Here is a 19592-nt window from a genome sequence, read left to right as displayed (position 1 = left end):
CCTCCCACAGAGTTCATTGTTCCCCAGACTCCAGACAGGATTCTGTGCCTTTGCACATGCTGTTCCCTCTGCTTAGAATGCCTTGCCCCTCACTTTTTTTTTTTAACCTGATAAATGCCTTCAAAACCCAGATAGAATGACACCTCCTCCAGGAAGCCTTCGCTTTCCCTCCCCCTCCACAGGTATCAGTAATTTCTCCATCCTCTACTCTCCTCTTCTGTCACCGTGCCTTCTTGCCACGTTGTAACTTATTTCTTTACGATTTGTTATCCTCTCTGGACCCGTGCCTTCCCCACATGGGGGCTGTGTCGTGCTCATCTCTCTTAGTGATCAGTTCTTCCCTGGGTCCCCCGTGCCCAGCATAGTACCTGGCACATGCCAGGCTCCCAGTCTCAGACTGGGGAATATTCGAGCTGAGGCAAATGTGGAACCAGAGAAATGAAGGCTAAATACACAGTTGCAAGCTCACAACTCAATAAGACCCCAAATCCTGATGTGCAGAAAGAGAGCCTGTCCTTATCGACAACCATTGACAAGCCCAAATGCGCCCGTCGGCAAATGTTTGTGTAAGGGACTCTCCCTGGAGTGGAGACGGGGGCCCATCTGCCCCGCCACCCCCATCCCCCAACCCCGGGGCCAGCCGAGGAGTGCAGGCTCAGCGGTTCTGCCCTGCCTTAGAGAGAAGCCCCCTTCAATAAATTGAGTTCCAAAGACAGCACTATTGCCTCGCCACAGTGGAAAGACTTAGCTGGCAGCATTTCTGTGGGATTGACTGTCTCCACAGCCACTTACCAGCCAGGCCAAGGCCCAGACAGGGGCAGATAGAATGATAACAGTAACAAAGACAGTTCTTCATTTGCCTACATCTTCCCATTCACTCCCTAGCAGCTCTATGAGATGGACACTATTAGCCCCATTTCACAGATGAGAGAACTGAGGCCTGCCAAGCACTGCAGTAATTTATGACGACTACTGTTTATTAAGCACTTACTGTGCATCAGGGGGCCATCCTCACACCGGCATCATCTCAGTGCTCACAGCAACTGTAGCAGCTGTAGGCAGTGCTATGTCTACTCAGCAAGGAAGTGGCAGAGCTCAGACTTGATCTCCAGACCGGCTGTAGAGCCTCCCACCCCACCCACTGGCCCCAACTATGTTATACTAGCAAACGTCACTCAAGAAAAAACTCCTGGCCAGGCGCAGTGGCTCAGGCCTGTAATCCCAGCACTTTGTGAGGCCGAGGTGGGTGGATCACTTGAGGTCAGGAATTTGAGACCAGCCTGGCCAACATGGTGAAACCCCGTCTCTACTAAAAATACAAAAAAATAGCCAGGCTTGGTGGCGCATGCCTATAGTCCCAGCTACTTGGGAGGCTGAGGCAGGAGAAGCACTTGAACCCGGGACGCGGAGGTTGCAGTGAGCCAGGATCACACCACTGCACTCCAGCCTGGGTGACAGAGCGAGACTCCATCTCAAAAAAAAAAAAAAAAAAAGAAAAGAAAAAGAAAGTCCCAGGCCGTCACTAAACCTGGGGTATGTGAGTGTTCACTGACTTCATGGCTTTGGCCCTTCTAACTCATCGGGACCATGAACCCAAGATCTGCAGGGTTCCTTCAGAAACTGAGAGAATGAATAACAAATCATAATGACAAACACTGCTGGCCCTTCAGAATTGGCACAGCATGTGCTCATAGAAGGCCCTGTTATGTGCATGTTTCATTGTCCCCATTGTACAGATGAGGAAGCTGACATGCATAGGTGAGATAAGGCCCCTCAGGGCGGGCTTGAGTGTCAGAGCCATGTGTTTCCACCCCTCTGAGTCCCTCTGAAAGAGCACTGCCCTCCCAGGTTCTGGAAGGGGACATCAGCTCTGGGCTCCCCGAGTATGTCAAAGATGAGCACTAACGAACCCTTCCCCAGTGCCACGGGAGATGGGCCAAGGCCCCAGGGGGGAGCAGAATTCGCACAGGAGCCTCATAGAAAGACCCTGTCATGCAATGGCAGCTTACGGGGGTATAGGCAGTGCCCATGGAGCAACAGGTTGCTGGGGCTCCCAGAGCGGAGTAGTGTCAGAGCTCTTAACCACCCCAGGGGCTGAAAGGGCAGGGGGAGGAAGTGATATTCCTGGGGTCCAGTGAGGACAGGAGCCTAGGAGCAGCTACCAGTGGGCACTGCAGTGTGGAGGGACACAGCCCCTGCCAGAGGGCAGCAGCAAAGCAGGAAGAAGGGGCTGGGGACAGAACAGCTGCAGCTCTCTCTCCTGCAGCCGTCTGCTCTCCGGCCACGGCCTCCCATCAGGCCATCCCACCTGTCGGCCACAGGCCCAAATTGTCCCTGTGACACGTTCAGTAGGGTTCAGCCTTCCGGGGATGGAGCAGGACAGAGGATGGATGTGGAGGGACCAGACAGAGAATGTCCAGTGTGTATGGTAACCTACGTACATGTCAGGGCATGTTGCCAGAGGTAGGGGTTATGTTTTCCCGGGGGCAGGAGCAGCCCTGAGAAACGATGCCCAGGTTGGAGAGGATGCTGATATGGCCCTGGATGTGACCCATCCACAGGCATCAGGGCCAAGCACAGCAGAGTGTCAGACCTCCCTGCTGGCCTCACCTGTGTGGACCAGGAAGAGGGGGCAAGAAGGTGGCCTGAGAGTTTGGAGCCAAAGAGTCTGAATTCCTCATTGCATTTTTCAGCACTCTTTTCCAAAGAAACATGATAATCCCTTGAAAACAAAAGAACACCCTCTGTAGAATACAGCAAGATGTAAGATGGGGATTGTTTTTTAACTAAGAATCCATGAAACTTTGTCTTCCAGTATGGCTGGCCTCAGAGGAACTGGGAACGCCTGGTAATTGCATTACCTGGGTCCCCGTATGGCTGGCCTCAGAGGGACTGGGAATGCCTGGTAATTGCGTTTGTGTCTGCGTGTGTGGCAAGAGGATCTTTTGTTTTCATCAGATTTCTAGGAGGTCATGGGCCCCAAAAGGTTTAGGAACCACCAGCTTAGGAAAAAGAGCATCAACTTTGGAGTCAGCAAGACCCAGATTCTGCATTCTGGCTGTGTGTTCCAGGGCAAGACCTGGATTCCGCATTCTGGCTGTTGTCCTGGGGCAAGTCGTTCCTCCCTGTGAGCTTCTGTTTTCTCATTTGAAAGATGTTAACAGGGGTACCCCTTCTGGCATTGATTTGACAGTGATCAGGGAAGTAACAAAAGCCATAGTAGCAGCTTTCCTTACTGGGGACCAGGAACTCTTCTAAATCCCTTGCAGTGAGGGGTCTCATGTCATTCACACACCACCGCTGTGAGTGAGGTGCTGTTCATCTCCCCATTCTGCAGATAGGGGAACTGAGGCACGCAGAGATGAAGCACCTTGCCCAAGGTCACACAGGTAGTGAATGGTTGAACTTGAAACGATAGTCAGGTTTACCTCTCTATCCGTCCTCCCCTGGGAGTGTGACACTGGATTGGGAAAGTGAGGTGATGCCTGGAGTGTGTCCAGCACAGAGCAGGCGTGCTAGAGATGTCAGTCTCTCTCACCCACTGAAACACCTATTGTCCGATTGATGTCTCTGGGACACAGGAGGTGCCCACAGCAGCCTCAAATGTTCAGAATAGGCCTGCTGGCCTCCTGCCCTCCTGGCCAGACCCTTCTCCCCACCCTGTGCCCTTTTCCCATGGAGAAAAATAACTCAGTTCATTTGTGTGAAAATCCGCATTGTTCAGAGCTCCTGGGGCCCTGGCAGACCCTAAGAGCAGGTGGTGTCCATGCCCAGTTCCCTCCCCTGGCTCTGGCCTCGGCCCTGAACTCTGCCAGGAAGGCACTCAGATCTCAGGTGGAGACTGCCGAGCTCTGAGGCCACAACAAAGAGCTCTCTGCAGAATGTGGGCCACAGAATGAAAGGCAGGCAGGCATCTTAACCATTCGGCAGGGCCTGGCAGGAAGATGCCGGTGACACCGTAGCCTGTGAGCCGCACTCAGGGACAGTGGGAAGTGGCCAGAGCAGATAGAGTGGAGCTTTGGCACCAGCCGAAGCCCTTGATGTGGTCCGTGCCCCACCAGCGTGAATTACCCTTGAGTGCCCCTGCCCCTGGGCTCAGCTTCCCAGCTCCCAGGACTGGCCTCATCTTCCCTGGGTCCCTGAGCACCTAGGTCATAGTAGAACATTCAATTTGTAGTTCAAGCTAAATAATACCAATTATTATTATCGTTACTGTAACTAGCAATCTTCATGGGTCAAGCCTTACTTGGCGGCCAGGTACTATCTGCAAGCTTTCATGGGAACGAGTCCTGCAGAATCCTGGGAGGTAAATACAGGTCCTCAGATAACATCATTTTATCATAATTGATAAGAAAAAAATAGCTTCCCATCCAGGGCCACTGTCTGTGTGCAGTTTGTGTGCTCTCCCTGTGGTGTTTGTGTGCTCACCCTGTGGAGTATGCATGCTCTCCCCATGTTGTTTGCATGTTCTCCCCGTGGAGTTTGCATGTTCTCCCCGTGGAGTTTGTGTGTTCTCCCCATGGAGTTTGCATGCTCATCCTGTGGAGTTTGCATGCTCTCCCCATGGAGTTTACGTATTCTCCCCGTGGAGTTTGCATGCTCACCCTGTGGGGTTTGTGTGTTCACCCCATGTGGGTTTTCTCCAGGTCCTCTGGTTTCCTCCCACATCCCAAAGCCATGCACGCTGGGTGAATTGGCAAGTCTCAGTGGTCCCAGAGTGGGTGAGTGCAGTTATGTGTGTGATCGGTGCCCTACCCGGGGTGGGTTCCCTCCCAGTGTCCTGAGCTGCCAGGAGAGGCTCTGGCCCCCTGCAGCCCTGAACTGGAATCGTTGGGTAAATCATTATCTTCCTTGTTTTTACTGATCTGTCTTAAATGTATATATAGCTCACATTTATTTCAGTGTTTAATATTTAGACGTTTTGGTGTCTTTATTCAGAAGTTTGGTGATGTTTTTGTTACTAGAAATACATTAGTGTGTAGGAGTTTAGCTCTTGTTTACATCCAAGGCTAATGCCTGTGGTAACATTGAGTTTGTTATACATCTTTTCACTAAAAGTTGTGAGATTTCCAAGAATCTATGAACCTGTCAATTTACTGTACTGTCGCAATCCTCTGTTTTAAATATGAGAAAACTAAGGCACAGAGAGGGCAAGTAACTTGCCCAAGGGCACCCAGCTACTGACCACAGAGCCAGGATTCAAACCTGTGTTTTCCACCATCCTGCTGTACCGAGTATTTGTATCAGCTGATCTGAGCGGCTGCCCCTTGCATTTTACCTGAATGTGTCCTCATACCCGTTCTGTGACCTCAGGCAAGTCGCTCTGCCTCAGCTCCGTCATTGGTACGATGGGGCCACAGCGCCCACCTCGTTAGGGAAACGGTGGGGCTCCAAGGGAAGGATGCCTGTAAAGGAGATGGCGCACAGCTCCTGGCACATCACGTGCAGTCAACAAATAGGATTGTTGAGGGGCCTCATGGTCCTTCGGGGCACTCACTCTTCCTTTTCTGAGTTGCCAAAAATACTCCCACTTTCTTTGCATTCCAGTCAGGCCAGGCTAAGGGAGGATGCTCTCTGGGCAAAGGACCAAGACACAGAGATGAGCCCTGGTGTTTATAAGCCTGGGCAGTAGCACACGTGTGTGTGTGTGTGTGTGTGTGTGTGTGTGTATTAGGAGGATGGGTTATAAGCCTGGGCAGTAGCACGTGAGAGTGTGTGTGTGTGTCTGTGTGTGTGTCTGTGTGTGTATATTAAGTAGGAGGATGGGTATACCTGACACAGAAGCATTGCTTGGGACGTGTGTGTGTATGTATGTATGTATGTATGTATGTATGTAGTAAGTAGGGGGATAGGTATGCCTGACACATAAGCATTGCTTGGGACGTGTGTGTGTGTGTGTGTGTGTGTGTGTGTGTGTGTGTATGTAGTAAGTAGGAGGACAGGTATGCCTGACACATAAGCATTGCTTGGGACACGTGTGTGTGTGTGTGTGTGTATGTGGGGGGGGGGGGGGTGTGTATGTAGTAAGTAGGAGGACAGGTATGCCTGACACATAAGCATTGCTTGGGACACGTGTGTGTGTGTGTGTGTATGTATGTAGTAAGTAGGAGGACAGGTATGCCTGACACATAAGCATTGCTTGGGATAGGATGTTTATATCTGGCCACAGATGCCACCTGTTCTCCCTTGTCTCCATGGCATAGCACAGAGCCTGGCACCTAATAGGAGCTTATTAGTGCCCAGGTGCCATGAGGAGAAGGAGGAGGACTCACTGCTCAAGCAGCAACCGTAATGTCCTGCCTTCCAAGTCAGTTACAGTAACTCATTATGCTCCACGCCCAGACTCGAGCTCTCTGCTTATCCAGGTTCCTTACTGGCAGACAAAAGAAACTTGTTGTAAACCCCCCAGCCCCTCCCCACCAAGCGGAAGCCTTCATTTTATCCATTGTCCCTGTATAATGGCAGGGCATTATATTTTTCCTTGCAAGTTGATGCTTGCAAAACACCTGTCAAATTGAACAGCGAAGGACAGGGCTTTGAAAGTCATTGTAAAAGTTGGCCTGAGTAGGCAAAGACCTTGACACCAGACAGAGATGCTTTCAAAAGGGAATAGCAAGACAGACGTTTTCCACCAAACTGCCCTCCCCATCTCCCCTGTCCTCTTCCTGCCCCTGCCCACTGCCCCGCACCTCCCTCCCTTCCTTGCTGGCCAAGAATCAGGTTTCTCATCTCCAGCGCAGCAGCCCCGTGGTAGGTGAAGTGCTATTCTTCACTGCCTTGCATGTGGGAGTTTGAAAAGAGAGAGCAAGGAGGGAAGAAAGAGGAAAGTCCGCCGCTGGCTGTGTCCTTTTCTTCCTGAGCGTGTTACAAACCAGCAGGGTCACGGCATCGAGAAGCTTTCAGGGCCGCGGCAGGCCACAGTACCTGCGAGCGCAGCCGAGAGAATATAATGGTATGGAAGAAATCCGTGCGCAGAACCCTGTGTTTTACAGCACTCACAGCCAGGGAGGCTGGGCAAACAGGCTTTTATTTGGCTGGGAGCGTGGCTCTGCTTCCCATGTTGTCTTATTCCAGCTGGGGAGGACTGATGGGCTGTGGTTAGCGTCTCTACCTTTCACCTCCAGAGCTGGGAGCGCAGACATGACCAGCATGGCGAGTGGCTGGCAGTGGGGCCTTCCCCCGCCTGCCCAAGCCAGGTTGGGCTGGGGCGGGAGATCTATGAGCAGAGTGCCCGGAGAAGTGCTCTTCCGGCACAGACGGGTGGCTGTCCCCATGGGTCGCCGGCCTCCAGCAAACAGTCACCCTCCCAGCCTCGCGAGGAGCAGGGAAGGAGCCTGCTTGCTAGAGCCCTGGTCCCGGCAGCCCCCACTGACCCCGGCCCCCACTGCCTCCCAGCCAGAGTGTCAAAGATGCAGCTTTTCCCCCACACCTCTCCTTTTCGTGATTCCCTTGTCATGCCCCTCCCCTGGTCCTCCTCGAGTACCACAGCCTGCCGTCAGGTGCTCACGTGTGCAATTAAGATCCTTCTCCGTGTGACACTTTATCCTTTGCGGGGGTACAAGGCCCTTTGACCAACCTGCCTGGGCCCCACATCTAACAGAGAGGAGGCACTCAGTGACCATTTGTGGGGTGAAAAAATGAACATACATAAGAACCTAATCATCAGAATGATGATTAGAATTTAATTGAGCATCTAACAGGTGCTGGACACTGTGTGAGCGTTAACTCAGTTCATCTTCACAGTCACCCCACAAGGAAGGAAGCCGGGCTCAGAAAAGCTGGCTAATGTGCTCCAAGCCCCACACTTAGCCAGGTGTGCGGTCGGCACTGGAGCCCTGTGTGGTCGAAGCCAGATATTCCTGACTGGGTGCTTCGAAGCACCGCTGGTCTGAAAAGGCAATCATGTAAGTTCTTATAAAGATCAAATCAGAGGGAAAGGAAAGAAAGAGGGCAAGAAAGCTTTGTCATGGACCTACCATGTGCAGAGAGTGATATCAGGTGGTTTTACGTAACTCAGTCTCATTTCAGGCTCACAGCTCCCTTAAGAACAGTGTTGCTTCCATTTTACTGAAGCACAAACCAAGACCCAGAGCAGTTAGTTCCCGGTCTGAAGGCATACCGGTCTGGACACTGCAGAACTGTAGTTAATGTCTATACCTGGGTGTTCCATCGTACCCTGTATCCTCAGCACCTCCTAAATCCCAAATTGCCCTCTCTTTATTGGATCTGGGCTCCTGATCCAGCTACAGCAGCAGTTGCAAACCACAGCCTACAATCTGTTTTTATAAATAAAGTTGTATTGGAACACAGGCATGCCCATTTGTTCATATATCGTCTAGGGCTACTTTCTTCCCCTGCAAGGACAAAGCTGAGCGGTTGTGACAGAGACCCTATGGCCCACCAAGCCTAAAGTATTTACTTTCTGGCTCTTCAAAGAAAGGCCTTGCAGCCCCTAGGGCTTCTGAAGTGGCTGCCCTTATTTTATCCAAAAGCCAGGGGTGGCTAGTTCCTCCCATGGTGACTCCCCACTTTCTCAGAGCATATAACTCTAGAGGCCTCATAACTGCACCCCCAGTGCCCTGCACCTGGAGTCCTGTGCTTAGATCTCCAGCTTCCCTGGATAGGAGGCCCCATTCATTCATTCATTCATTCATTCAACAGTTCTTCACTGATGACCTTATTAGCAAGCCGTGCTCTAGGCACTGAGGGCAAAGCAGTGTACAAAAGAGAAAGTCCTCCCTCATGGAGCTGATTTGAGTGAGGGAGACAGATGATTGCCCCCCTCCCCTGCCCTACCAAAAAAATAAATAAATAGCAACAAAGTTCTAATGATACCAAGTCCTGCGGTGGAAATTAGAAAGGGTAAAATATGGTTGATACAGTGGCTCACACCTGTAATCCCAGTGCTTTGAGACGCCGAGGCAGGAGGATCACTTGAGCCTAGGAGTTTGAGACCAGCCTGAGCCACATAGCGAGACCCCGTCTCTAAAAAAAAACTTTAAAAATTAGCCAGGCATGGTGGCACACACCTGTAGTCCCAGCTACTCGGGAGGCTGAGGTGGGAGGATCACTTGAGCCCAGGAGTTCGAGGCTGCAGCAAGCCATGATTACGCCACTGCACTCCAGCCTGGGCAACAGAGCAAGACCCTATCTCTTTTTAAAAACGAAAAGAAAAGAAAGGATAGCCTAATGAGCTCTTCAGGACCACCAGAGAGGGGAAGGAGCGATTCCAAATATGATGGTTGGAAAGTCTTTCTGCCAAGTCAGCATTTCTGTGTGATTCAAAGGGACCAACTAGCCAAGGATCTGGGGAGAACCATCCCAGGTAGCAGAAGCCATGGGTGCCAAGGTCCTGGGGTCAGAGTGTGTTCAAAGCAGGCAGAGAAGCCAGCAGGGTTTCCTCCTGGGGCCTTGTCTGGCCTGGCAGGAAGCCCAGCTTGTATTCAAGGTGCAGTGGGAAGCTCCCAGAAGATTTGAAGAGAAGAGTCTCAAGACCCAATTCACACTGTCAGACCTCATCCCCTGCATTGTAGAGGGGCAAGAATGGAGGGCAGAGGTCCCATCCAGGCCAATAAGGGCCATGGAGCAGAGGCTGTGGAGGTGGGGAAGCAGGTGGATTGAGCATTTTGGGTAAAGGTAGAGCCAGCCAGACTTGCTTCTGGAAGGCAGGAGAAAAATCAAAACTGGTGCATAGGTTTTTGCTCCAAGCCACTCACGGGATGGTGGTGCTGCATGGTGAGCAGAGGCCCAGGAAGCTGGGAAGGACAGGTGGCTGGGCGGGGGTGTTCTGAACGTGTTGAAGTTGAGACACCTATTAGGACTCCCCTCGATGTCAGGCAGATAGATCTATGAGTTGGGAGCTCAGGGGCGAAGTCTGGGCTGAGATATAAATTTGGAAGTCATCAGCAGACAGATGATATTTAAAGCCTGCAAGAGTTAACCCCCCCTCCCCACTTCCATAACTTAATCATTCACAGGACAGTACATTTTCAAAAGACTGGAGACCAAGAGAGCCCGTTATCCCCACGTCAGCCTTTGCGAATAGGCCACCTTGATCTTGCCCATGAAAACATAATCATCGGGCTTTAAAACTCACAGTCAGGAAAGTTCAAGCAAAGATGTGAAGCCACAGAATTTGTTATTCAAAATATCCTTTGGTCGTGGTTCCTTCCATCCACCTGGAGACAGAGGTTTTCTGTAAGCTTCCCATTTTCATTCCTTCACCTGGGTCCTTCTTGCTTTCTCCTGAAGACTTGACTGTAGCAGCCCTTCCTCCAGAGGTGTTGAAGGCCTCAGCAGGAGGCGGGCAAAGAGGGAAACTGTCCCGGATTGCCATAGCGGGTCCTGACAGGAAAGGCCGAGACTGGGTGGGGTGTGGGAATATGTGGGTGATTTATCCCTGACCTCTTTGAAATGATCACTTTACAGCCAAAAGTGGCGGCTCATGCCTGTAATCCCAGCACTTTGGGAGGCCAAGGTGGGTGGATCACTTGAGCCCAGGAGTTCGAGAGCAGCCTGGCCAACACAGCGAAGCCCTGTCTCTTCTAAAAATACAAAAATTAGCCAGGTGTGGTGGCGTGCGCCCGTAATCCTAGCTACTCAGGAGGCTGAGGCAGGAGAATCACTTGAACCAGGGAGACAGAAGTTGCAGTGAGCCGAGATCACACCACTGCACTCCAGCCTGGGCAACAGAGTGAGACTTAGTCTAAAAAAAAAAAAAGAAAAAAGAAATGATAACTTTTTGTGTTCAGGGTAGTGTGTTTTAACCTATCTCCAGCTCCTGGTCATGTTGGGAAGTGGTTCCAGGAGAGGTTGAGGTTGCCTGGGAAACCCACTCTTTCTCACACCCCTGGCTATCTCAGCTGCTGGAGGCTGAATCCAGAGGAGAAAAATCAAGGAGAGGGAATTCTTTCGGTCAAGGCAGTTCCCAAGTGTGCGCCCAAGTGGTGCACATGGCTGGCCATGCAGGGAGCCATGATCAGAGAGCAAGATCCTTCTCCCTGCAGCAGTGCAGGGAGGCTGGGGGTCCTGGAGGCCAGCTGGAGCAGGTATCGCCCAGTCACCCCCTCCTACTTCCTTCCACTCCCCACGCCTGAGCCTCGCTGGGCGGTGTTTTGGAAATAATTCCAAGTGCTTCGGCAATATCCCGCACACTCTCTTCCCCTTCCCCCGGGAGCGGCTGTCCGTGTGGGGAAGGTACTTGCTCCCAATCCAGCTAAATTGTTATTGACTTGTGTTCTCTGTGTTCCGCAAACATTTCACTCAGCCGTCGCCAGCAAGGCCAGGAATCCCTGCTAGGGCTAACGGGGAAGCCAGCTGTGCCGGGCCATTTCTCGTGCTCTTCCTCATCGATCACGGAATTAAACTGACAGAAGGAGAATTTCAGAGCGACTTGGGAGGGGCAGGGGCTGGGCCGGGATTGGACGAGGGTTTGGGGACTTGGGGACCACAGTGCTAGAAACAGGGACAGGAGGAAGGGTGGGTTTCCCTCCAGGGTTGTAGCTGGTGGTAGGGGGTGGCCAGTTTTATTTCTGAACTGTAGGCTGGCCCAGCCTGGAGAAACCCAAGGAAAACACACAGACAAGGTTTTTATTACTGCTTCATGACCACAAATGAAAGTAGTGGGGTTTTGTAGACAGAGAGGAGAGAGAGAAAAGAGCAGAGACCACACTGGCAAGTTGTCGGCTGAAATTAGATCTTTATTTTGCCTACCAGTTATGAAAACAATGGTTTTGAATGAATCATCACTATTTTCCTACTGGAAGATTTGACCTGAAAATCAAGATTCTGACCTCTTCTGAAAAATCAGATTTGGCCAGCCTGGTTCCACATTCCCACAGGGCACCAGGCCCAAGGAATGGCTGCACGTTTATACGAAGGCTGGGCTTCCCCTTACGCACAATGCATAGCCCTCCCTGTAGTCTCCCCCGACCCCCTGGACTGTTTGATGCCATCATATTCCTATCTGGACCCTCGAGCCTTTGCACTTACACAGCCTGGTACAGACACCACTATACCTTGGCCCTATGAGATGTTACCAGCTGCTCCCTTTCAGCCTCTGCTTTCCAACCCAGGGCCTATGCCAAAAGAAAAGAGATCAGTAACTAATGTGGACCAAACCCTAAGACTTGGGGGATTCCTCCAGACCTGAGGCAGAGGAGTAGGGGATGCCTTCCCACCTTTCCTGGTTCTTTTTCCCTTTTCCCTCTGCAGTGAGTCACCCTCACCGGGACACTCCCCTTGCTTCCCAGCCGCACAGGTCTGCCAGTATCTGTAACTAATACAAACATGTGGGACCAAGTCTAGAAGCCCCCAGGCATAGCCCACCCCCCCCCCCCCCGCCCCGCAGCCCTAGCTCAGGGTAACTCCATGGGTATCAGGGCTGCAGCACCTTCACCAGCCCCTGTGTATGGGGTTGTGCGTGGCCAGTCATAGAATTCTGCACACACACAAGACACCCAGAGCACAGAGGGAAGTTACTCCACCCACCGACCCACTCTCCAGCCACTCAGGGAGCCCAGGTCCTCAGCACCAAGATTAATAACATCAGTCATCATAGCAGTCATCATATCCCGTGCTCACCCCAGGCCATTTGCATCAGAACCTCTGGAGGTAGGATCCAGGCATCAGTGGGTTCCTAGCTGATGCTACCAGACAGCTGGATTGAGAACCAATGGCCTTTGAAAAGGAAATTGCTGCTACATAGCCTGGGTCTGTTCATGCTTTTCCTGTTGAGACCCCCATCCTAGGGAGGCTGGGCTAGTGTCCCCCTCTGCGGGGCAGGCTTTGCTATGCTGTGCCAGTAAGGCTGGAGCCAACCCTATCTGAGCTCAAGGTCCTGCTTGGAAAGTGTGACCACTTGACTCTTCAGAGTCCTAGTGCGGCTGCTTCCTCATCTGAAAAGTGGGACAATGATGTTGCCTAGCTGGTGGAATTTCTGTAGGAAAGTCCAGAGCCAGCCTGCTGCTTAGAGCCAGCAGGCGCCTGAGGAGTGGTCCCTGCAGCTCGCCCCTTGGCCTTATCTTGGGCAGCTGGATTTCCCCTTTGCTGGGCACTGCCTGTCCTCTGGGGTGGCCTCACAGGACCCTTTGATTGTTAGCTTTCATGTTTGCCTGGCACCTCAACGGGCCGGGCCCTGGGCTAAGTGCTCTCATGCTTTATCTCATCAAATCCCCTGTGGTGGGTGCTACTACTGTGTCCTGTCTGCAGAAGAGTAACTTTGGTAACTCAGAGAAGGCTGGGACCACCAAGTGGCAGCACTCAGGTCCCACCTCGTCCTGTCCACCCTGAGCCCCAGTGTGGCCCCCATGGCTGGTGGTTTAGTTTATCCTGTGGAGTTTTGTTCACTGCCATATCCCCAGCATCATTCCTGGCACATAGAATATGCTGGGTCATGCTTGCTAAGAGTGACTGAAGGCAGGAATCCTTACGGTCCCCATGAGATAAGCAGAGCAGGCACCGTCCCCGTTTAACAGGTGGGAACACTGAGGTAAGGAGCTTAGCAGCTCCTGGGAGTCCCACAGTGGCAGAGGCCAGTCTGCGGCCCAGGCTCCTGCCCACCCGCTCTGCACAAGGACCCTCTCAGATCATACCTAGTTCTTAGAAGGACTCGCTGTGTTTTAAAAAGGCACAACTGGCTGGACGTAGTGGCTCATGCCTATAATCCCAGCACGTTAGGAGGCCAAGGCGGGTGGATCACTTGAGCTCATGTCCAACATGGTGAAATCTCATTTCTACTAAAAATACAAAAATTAGTTGGGCCTGGTGGTGTACGCCTGTAATCCCAGCTACTTGGGAGGCTGAGGCACAAGAATCACTCAAACCCGGAAAGCAGAGGTTGCAGTGAGCCGAGATCGCTCCACTGCACTCACCTGGGTGACAGTGTGATTCTGTCTATTTAAAAAAAAAAAAAGGCACAGCCCTAAAACAGCCTCCTGTATCAATAAAGGGACATTGGCTTGGTCTTAGGAGCCAGGCCAGTCTCCTGAAGAGTACCCTTTATTCTGTGCGTACCTGATGTGTGCCTGCTGTACACAGAGCCCTGAGATGCAGACCTATCTGGGTAGGAGAGCTCTGCCCGTGGGGGCTGCAAGATATGAAGCCAGGGAGGACAGGGAGAGACCCATGCAGAGGCACCAGCAGCTGAGGGTGGGGGTCTGGTTCAGCCAGCCTTCCAGAGCAGGCAGCCTCCCAAGCCAGGCCAGCCCCCGGGTGCCCAGCCCCCCTGCGGTACCCACATCATGGCACCCTCATACTCCCCAAGGGTGGGAGCTACAGGTGGCTGGTGTCCCCCAGCAGCCTAGGACTGCACACCACTGAGTCTGAAGATTGTGGAGCCTCATTCTGGCCTCCACACTCTGCCCCAACCTCCTTCCTCCCCTCGCCCACCTGTGCCCCCGCCCCCTGCCCTTCACCCCGGCCTCTTGGAATCAGTTCTGTCTCCGACTTAGCGGAGTTTGTGGAAGCCTTGCCTATCCTGTGTCTCGGGAAGTAGCAACTCAGGAGCCTCCAGGAACAGGAAGAAAAGCCCCCATAAGTGAGGCTGCGTGTCTCCAGGGGCAGCTAGTGCACAGCCTCATCAGTTACCTGTAGGCAGGGAGGGGACAGGTCTGCCACACTCACAGGTTAGCCATTCCAGGTTCAAGAGAAACGAGAGGTGCAGATTCTTATGTAGCATCTCCCTGTTTTTGAACATTAGTCACTGATTTCTGTATTCATGGCAAATCATGTCAGCAAATCCAGACACTCTTCTGTGGGCCCACAGTGGGAGGCCCTGCTCCATCCCATTGGTCACTTTTTTTTTTTTTTTTTTTTTTGAGACAGAGTCGAGAGCTGCTGTTGCTATCATCGTGTTATAGAGGAGGGGAGCAGCCCACCCTCGTGCTCTCAGTAACAGATTCCATCAACAGCAGTAAGAATGACCAACCTATATTGACAGCTTGCCGTGTGCTAGGCACTATTGTGAGGGCCTTACATACATATATTCATTCTTTTAATACCCTCACACACCCTAGGCGTGTAGATTTCATCACCATTCAGTAACTGCAGAAACTGAGAGGAGCCCAGAGAGGTGAAGCAACTTACCCAAGGTTGCCCAGCCAGGAGCAGCAGGGTTTGATCCTGGCAGCTCACCCACCCAGCACCCTGCATCTAGCACCCTCCACCCTGTACCTCAGGCCTCTCCACTCAGAATCCAGCCCTGGGCTTCCTGGCCCAGTGCTTTTCCCCTCCCCGGACTGTTCACGCCTGCCTCATCCCAGGGTTCCTTTCAGAACTCCCTTCTCCCCTTATCAGCCACGCTCTTCTCCCCCGGCTTGCCTTTCCTCAACGTCTGCTTCCAGAACAAAACCCCAAGAAGCGCTTTCTCTTGTCCTCCCGACGCACCCCCCCGCCCCCCCGCCCTTTCTCCCTGCCTGCGCCTTTCTCCCTGCCTGCCTGCGCCTCCCATGCAGGGCCGACAGCGCCAGCCAGGGAAGGGAGAGACACAGGCTGGCATTCTGTCAAGGAATTAATTGAAAAATAAAATCATTAGGTGGGAACTCCAGAAATGCAAAAATGGTGGTTGGAGGTTGGTGGGGAGGGGGGCAGGACTGGGGGGTTGTCGGGGGATGGCTGAGCTTTTTGTCAAGTTAATTTCTCGGGTATTGATGTTTGGTGACATTCACTTGTTGTTTATCTTCGGGTGCAGCTGTAATACTGAAAGAAAATGCACAGCTTGTTTCGTTTATTTATTTTACACCTTTCTCCGGTTCTGCATTATGTTTGTTTGGTGAAAACCCACTGAGGCTTTTGATGTCGGGGAAGTGGGATTTCAGCAGCTGTTCGCTGCAAACAGGGTGCTCCTCAAGGAAGCAGGGCCAGCGGGAGGTGCGGGGTGTCATTCGGTGGGAACTCGGGGCCTGACATGTCCTCCAGGGGGCAGTTGGGGGCCCAGCCTGAACCCTGGCAGATATGCCAGGCCCAGGAGCACGGAGGCTGGCTTATGATACATGAGTACATAGTTGGCAGGTAAAGGAATGAGATGTTTTGGTTCATCAAGGCCACAAAGCCAGGCTCCGCGTAAGAGCCCCCGCCCCATGAGTGCTCACTGCCCCAAAGACCAAGAGAGACACGAAGTCAACACCTTTCCTATCAATAATAGTAACACAGGTGTTGGTCTCAGCACCATCGACTGAGCCAGGGGCTGGGCATTGCCCTTTTTACTCATTTCAGCCTCACCACAACCCCTAGTATTTCCATTTTACAGGTTAGAAATTGAGGCACAACTATCTGGTTCTTTCTCCATCTCCCCCTGCCAGACCAGAAAGCCTTAGGTGGGGCCAAGCCAGGCTTGTTCCCCACCATGCCCGACCCAGAGCAGGTGCTGCAGGTGTCTCCGTCATGTGAGGGGATGAGAGCATGGATGAAGGCTCTGAACAACTGCTCTTGGCCTCGTCTCAGCTGCTGTTTGTCCTTCAGCAACCTACACTACTTGACCCTCAATTTTCCCTGTCATTCACTCCCTCAGTCGCTCAGCACACATTTATTGAGCATCTACTATGTGCCAGGCACAGTTCTGGGCATTGGGAATGGAACAGTGGACAAAACAGGCAGAAACCCCTGCCCTCCTAGAGCAGATGTTCCAGCCAGGAAGACAGATAATAAAGTGGAAACATGACACACAGTGAGACCGGGAGACATGCTGTGGGGGAAGTGGACAGGAAAGGGATTAGGAAGTGTACATCAGGGCACTCTGGAGGACTTGGAATTTTAAATAAGGAGGGAAGCTTCACTGAAAAGGTAAGGCCCCTGAGTGGCTCCGTGGAGGAAGAGCATTCCAGACCAAAGGAACAGCAGGTGCAAGGCCCTGAGGTGGGAGTGCTGGAAGCCAGGAGCCAGCAAGGGGCCCGAGTGCCTGAGCAGAGTGGGAGGGAAGCAGAGAGGTGGCAGGGCCTGCTCAGTAGCCCTGGCAGCCGACGTGACAGCTTTAGCTTTTCCCCAGGTGAGATGGTGCCCCTGGAGGCTTGAGCAAAGGAACAGCATGCCGTGATGGAGGATTTAACAAGCTCCCTCTGGCTGCCGTTTGAGACCAGACTCCTGGGAGGAGGGCAGAGGAAGCCAGAGGCAATGGTGGCACGGCCCAGGGGTGCAGGAGCATGGGGAAGAAGCACCCCAAGTCCAGCTCTATCTTACAGGTTGAGCCGACACAATGGATGGGGCTAGAACTCGCCCCTCGCCAGTCCCTCCAAGTTGTCAGGATGTGGGAGAGAAGAAAAAGTCCCATGCCGCCACCGCTGGCCATCCCTTAGACCCCAGGCCAGGCCTGGCCCAGGAAGGCAGGGACCCTGCCCCAGGAGTGAGCTGCCATCCCCAACTCATATTAGCAGATGGGAGGGGCGTCAGTGATCGCCTGTGGGCCCTGTTTTGTTGCGTTCTATTTTCCAGTTCCTATTACCTGCCCACAAATTCAATTTCCAGAGGCCATTGTGCACCTCCAGGGCTGGCGATTATAAGGAAACCAAGAGTGTCTAGGAGGTCACAAGGAAGGAGAGGAAGCCGGAGTCCGAGCCCCGGGCCGCCAGCCCCCACCACCCCAGCCCACCCTGTCCCCCTCTCCCTTTTCATGATTAACAATGATGGGTAGAGCTGCAAGGCCTTGAGGCTCTCAGGTGGCAGGCAGGTGGGCACCTCCCGCACCTTCTGCACGCTCACCATGGGGCAGGCTCTGCCGTCTCTCTCTCACCCTTGCTCCGTCCGCTCATTCCCCTTTCTGGGATATTTCACAAGCACTTGCTAGGCACCAGGCAGTGTGCTAAGGCCAGGGACACAGCAGTGAGTGAGACAACATCCCACACAAAGAAAGGCCTGCGGCAGTGTGGGTAATAAAAAGTGCCAGGGGGTGGGGTGGCATTGGAGCTCAGAGGTAGAGGGAGAGGGAGATCTGGGTGCTGCCGGTGCAAAGGTCTTGAGCAGGGGGAGGTGGGCCAGCTCCAGTGATGCCTCCAGAGGAACTTGGGGCTTTCTTAGGGAGTGGTGGATCTGACGCACATGTTTTAGAGGGATCCCTTGGTGGGAGGGGGGTCTCTAGTGAGGGGCTGAGAGGTACTTGGATTGGGGTGCAGCCGTGGAGATGATGAGAAACGGGTTCAATGTTTGAATTGATTTGGGAGGGACGAGATTGAAGAAACAGGCTCAGAGAGGTGAAATCGCTCACCCAGGAACACGCAGAGGGAAACCAAGTCTTCATCTCTGGGCCAGGCACTGTGCTAGCCCTGGGGAGGTCTCAGTAGAAAAGGCTAGGCCGCTGCTGTGAGCTCCAGGGAGCTCACAGCCTGCGGATAAATGGAGGTAAAGGGCCTCAGGGTGGTTTATTTGGGGAGGTGTTTGAGCCATGGAAAGGGAGGGGATTTGGACAGCCTCTTTACACTGCCTCTGTACAAATCAAGCCTTATCTGTGAGCAAGGCTGCTCATCGACAAGTGGTTAGACTAGCAGAGGGACTGACAGAGGAAGCCAGCCTGGATTCCAACCTCGCTCTTTTCCTGGAGGGCCAAGGGGCCCCACACGTCCTCTCCTGCCACCATTGATCCCCTTGGAGTTCTCTGCCTAGAACCCGAGACTTTCATAAAAAGCAGAAAGACTGTGGGCTTAGGTGTGACTGGGGTTCGAATCCTGGCTCCACCGCTTCTTAGCTGAGTGACTTCAGACCTGCCTGTCCGTGCCTCAGTTCCGTCTCCTACAAGAGGCAGCATACCACCTGCCTGTGGGGTTGCTGACAGGAGTGGAGCCATGGTTCATGATGGTACCTAATCAGGAGGTGCTTGTGGGGCTAAGCCCACCATGCCCTTTCCTACCTCCGTGCTTTTCTTCATGACCCTGAATCCCCTCTCCTCACAGAAAACTCCTCTGCATTCTTCAAAGCCCAAGTCAAATAGTCCTCCTCTTCAAAGCCACCTCTAATTGTCATTCCCTCCACGCCTCCTCTGGAATCCTTGAGCTTTGCATCTGTTCTATTCACCCACCACTTATCGAGCACCTGTTGTATGCCAGCCATGTACTGCACCATTAGCCTGGCCTCCAAGAAAACAGAAACAACTTCTACTTGTCTCCCCAGCCGTTGTCCACTGCTTGGTCCAGCCTCTCTGAAGGGTTTCAGCTTCCTCCAAGCCAAGCTCTGACCTGCTGTGAGGAAGCAGCACAGGAGACCCTTTCTCTCTTTTTTCTCAAGGGAATCCTTTCCCCTGCGGGTAGAAGATGGGGAGGGGATGGCCAGGGAAGCAGGAGAGTTTCTGGGGGTGCGAGGGAGGCAGCCCCGCCATGGTGATGCTGAGACTAACTCTAGTGTTTCTCTCTCCTCCTCATTTCCCCTTTGATTCTCTCCCCTACTCCTTATCTTTCTTCATTGCCCCATCCTCTCTCCACCTCCCTCTGTATCTTCTCTCCCTCCGCTCTCCCCAACTTCCCTCTCTTGCATTCTCTCGCTTCTGTTCTGTCTCCCCGCACCCTTGTTCTGCTCATCTCTCCCCTCTCCCTCCTTCCTCTGTCATTTCTCTCTTCCTGCCTCCCAACCCTCTCGGCTGTTCTTTTCTCCTCTCTTGCCATCTGGGCTCCCAC

The 19592-nt window shown here is 52.9% G+C and overlaps 1 protein-coding gene across 7 annotated transcripts in view; it reads left to right on the top strand.

Annotated features, from left to right (window-relative positions):
• RBM19 (RNA binding motif protein 19) overlaps window positions 1-19592 on the top strand; it is a 149586-nt gene that overhangs the window by 123410 nt on the left and 6584 nt on the right. The gene's annotated exons all lie outside the window — the stretch shown is intronic.

Source organism: Homo sapiens, chromosome 12, assembly GCF_000001405.40.
Source record: "Homo sapiens chromosome 12, GRCh38.p14 Primary Assembly".
Classification (NCBI taxonomy): Eukaryota; Metazoa; Chordata; class Mammalia; order Primates; family Hominidae; genus Homo; species Homo sapiens.
This window is presented reverse-complemented; position numbering and strand designations above follow the sequence as displayed.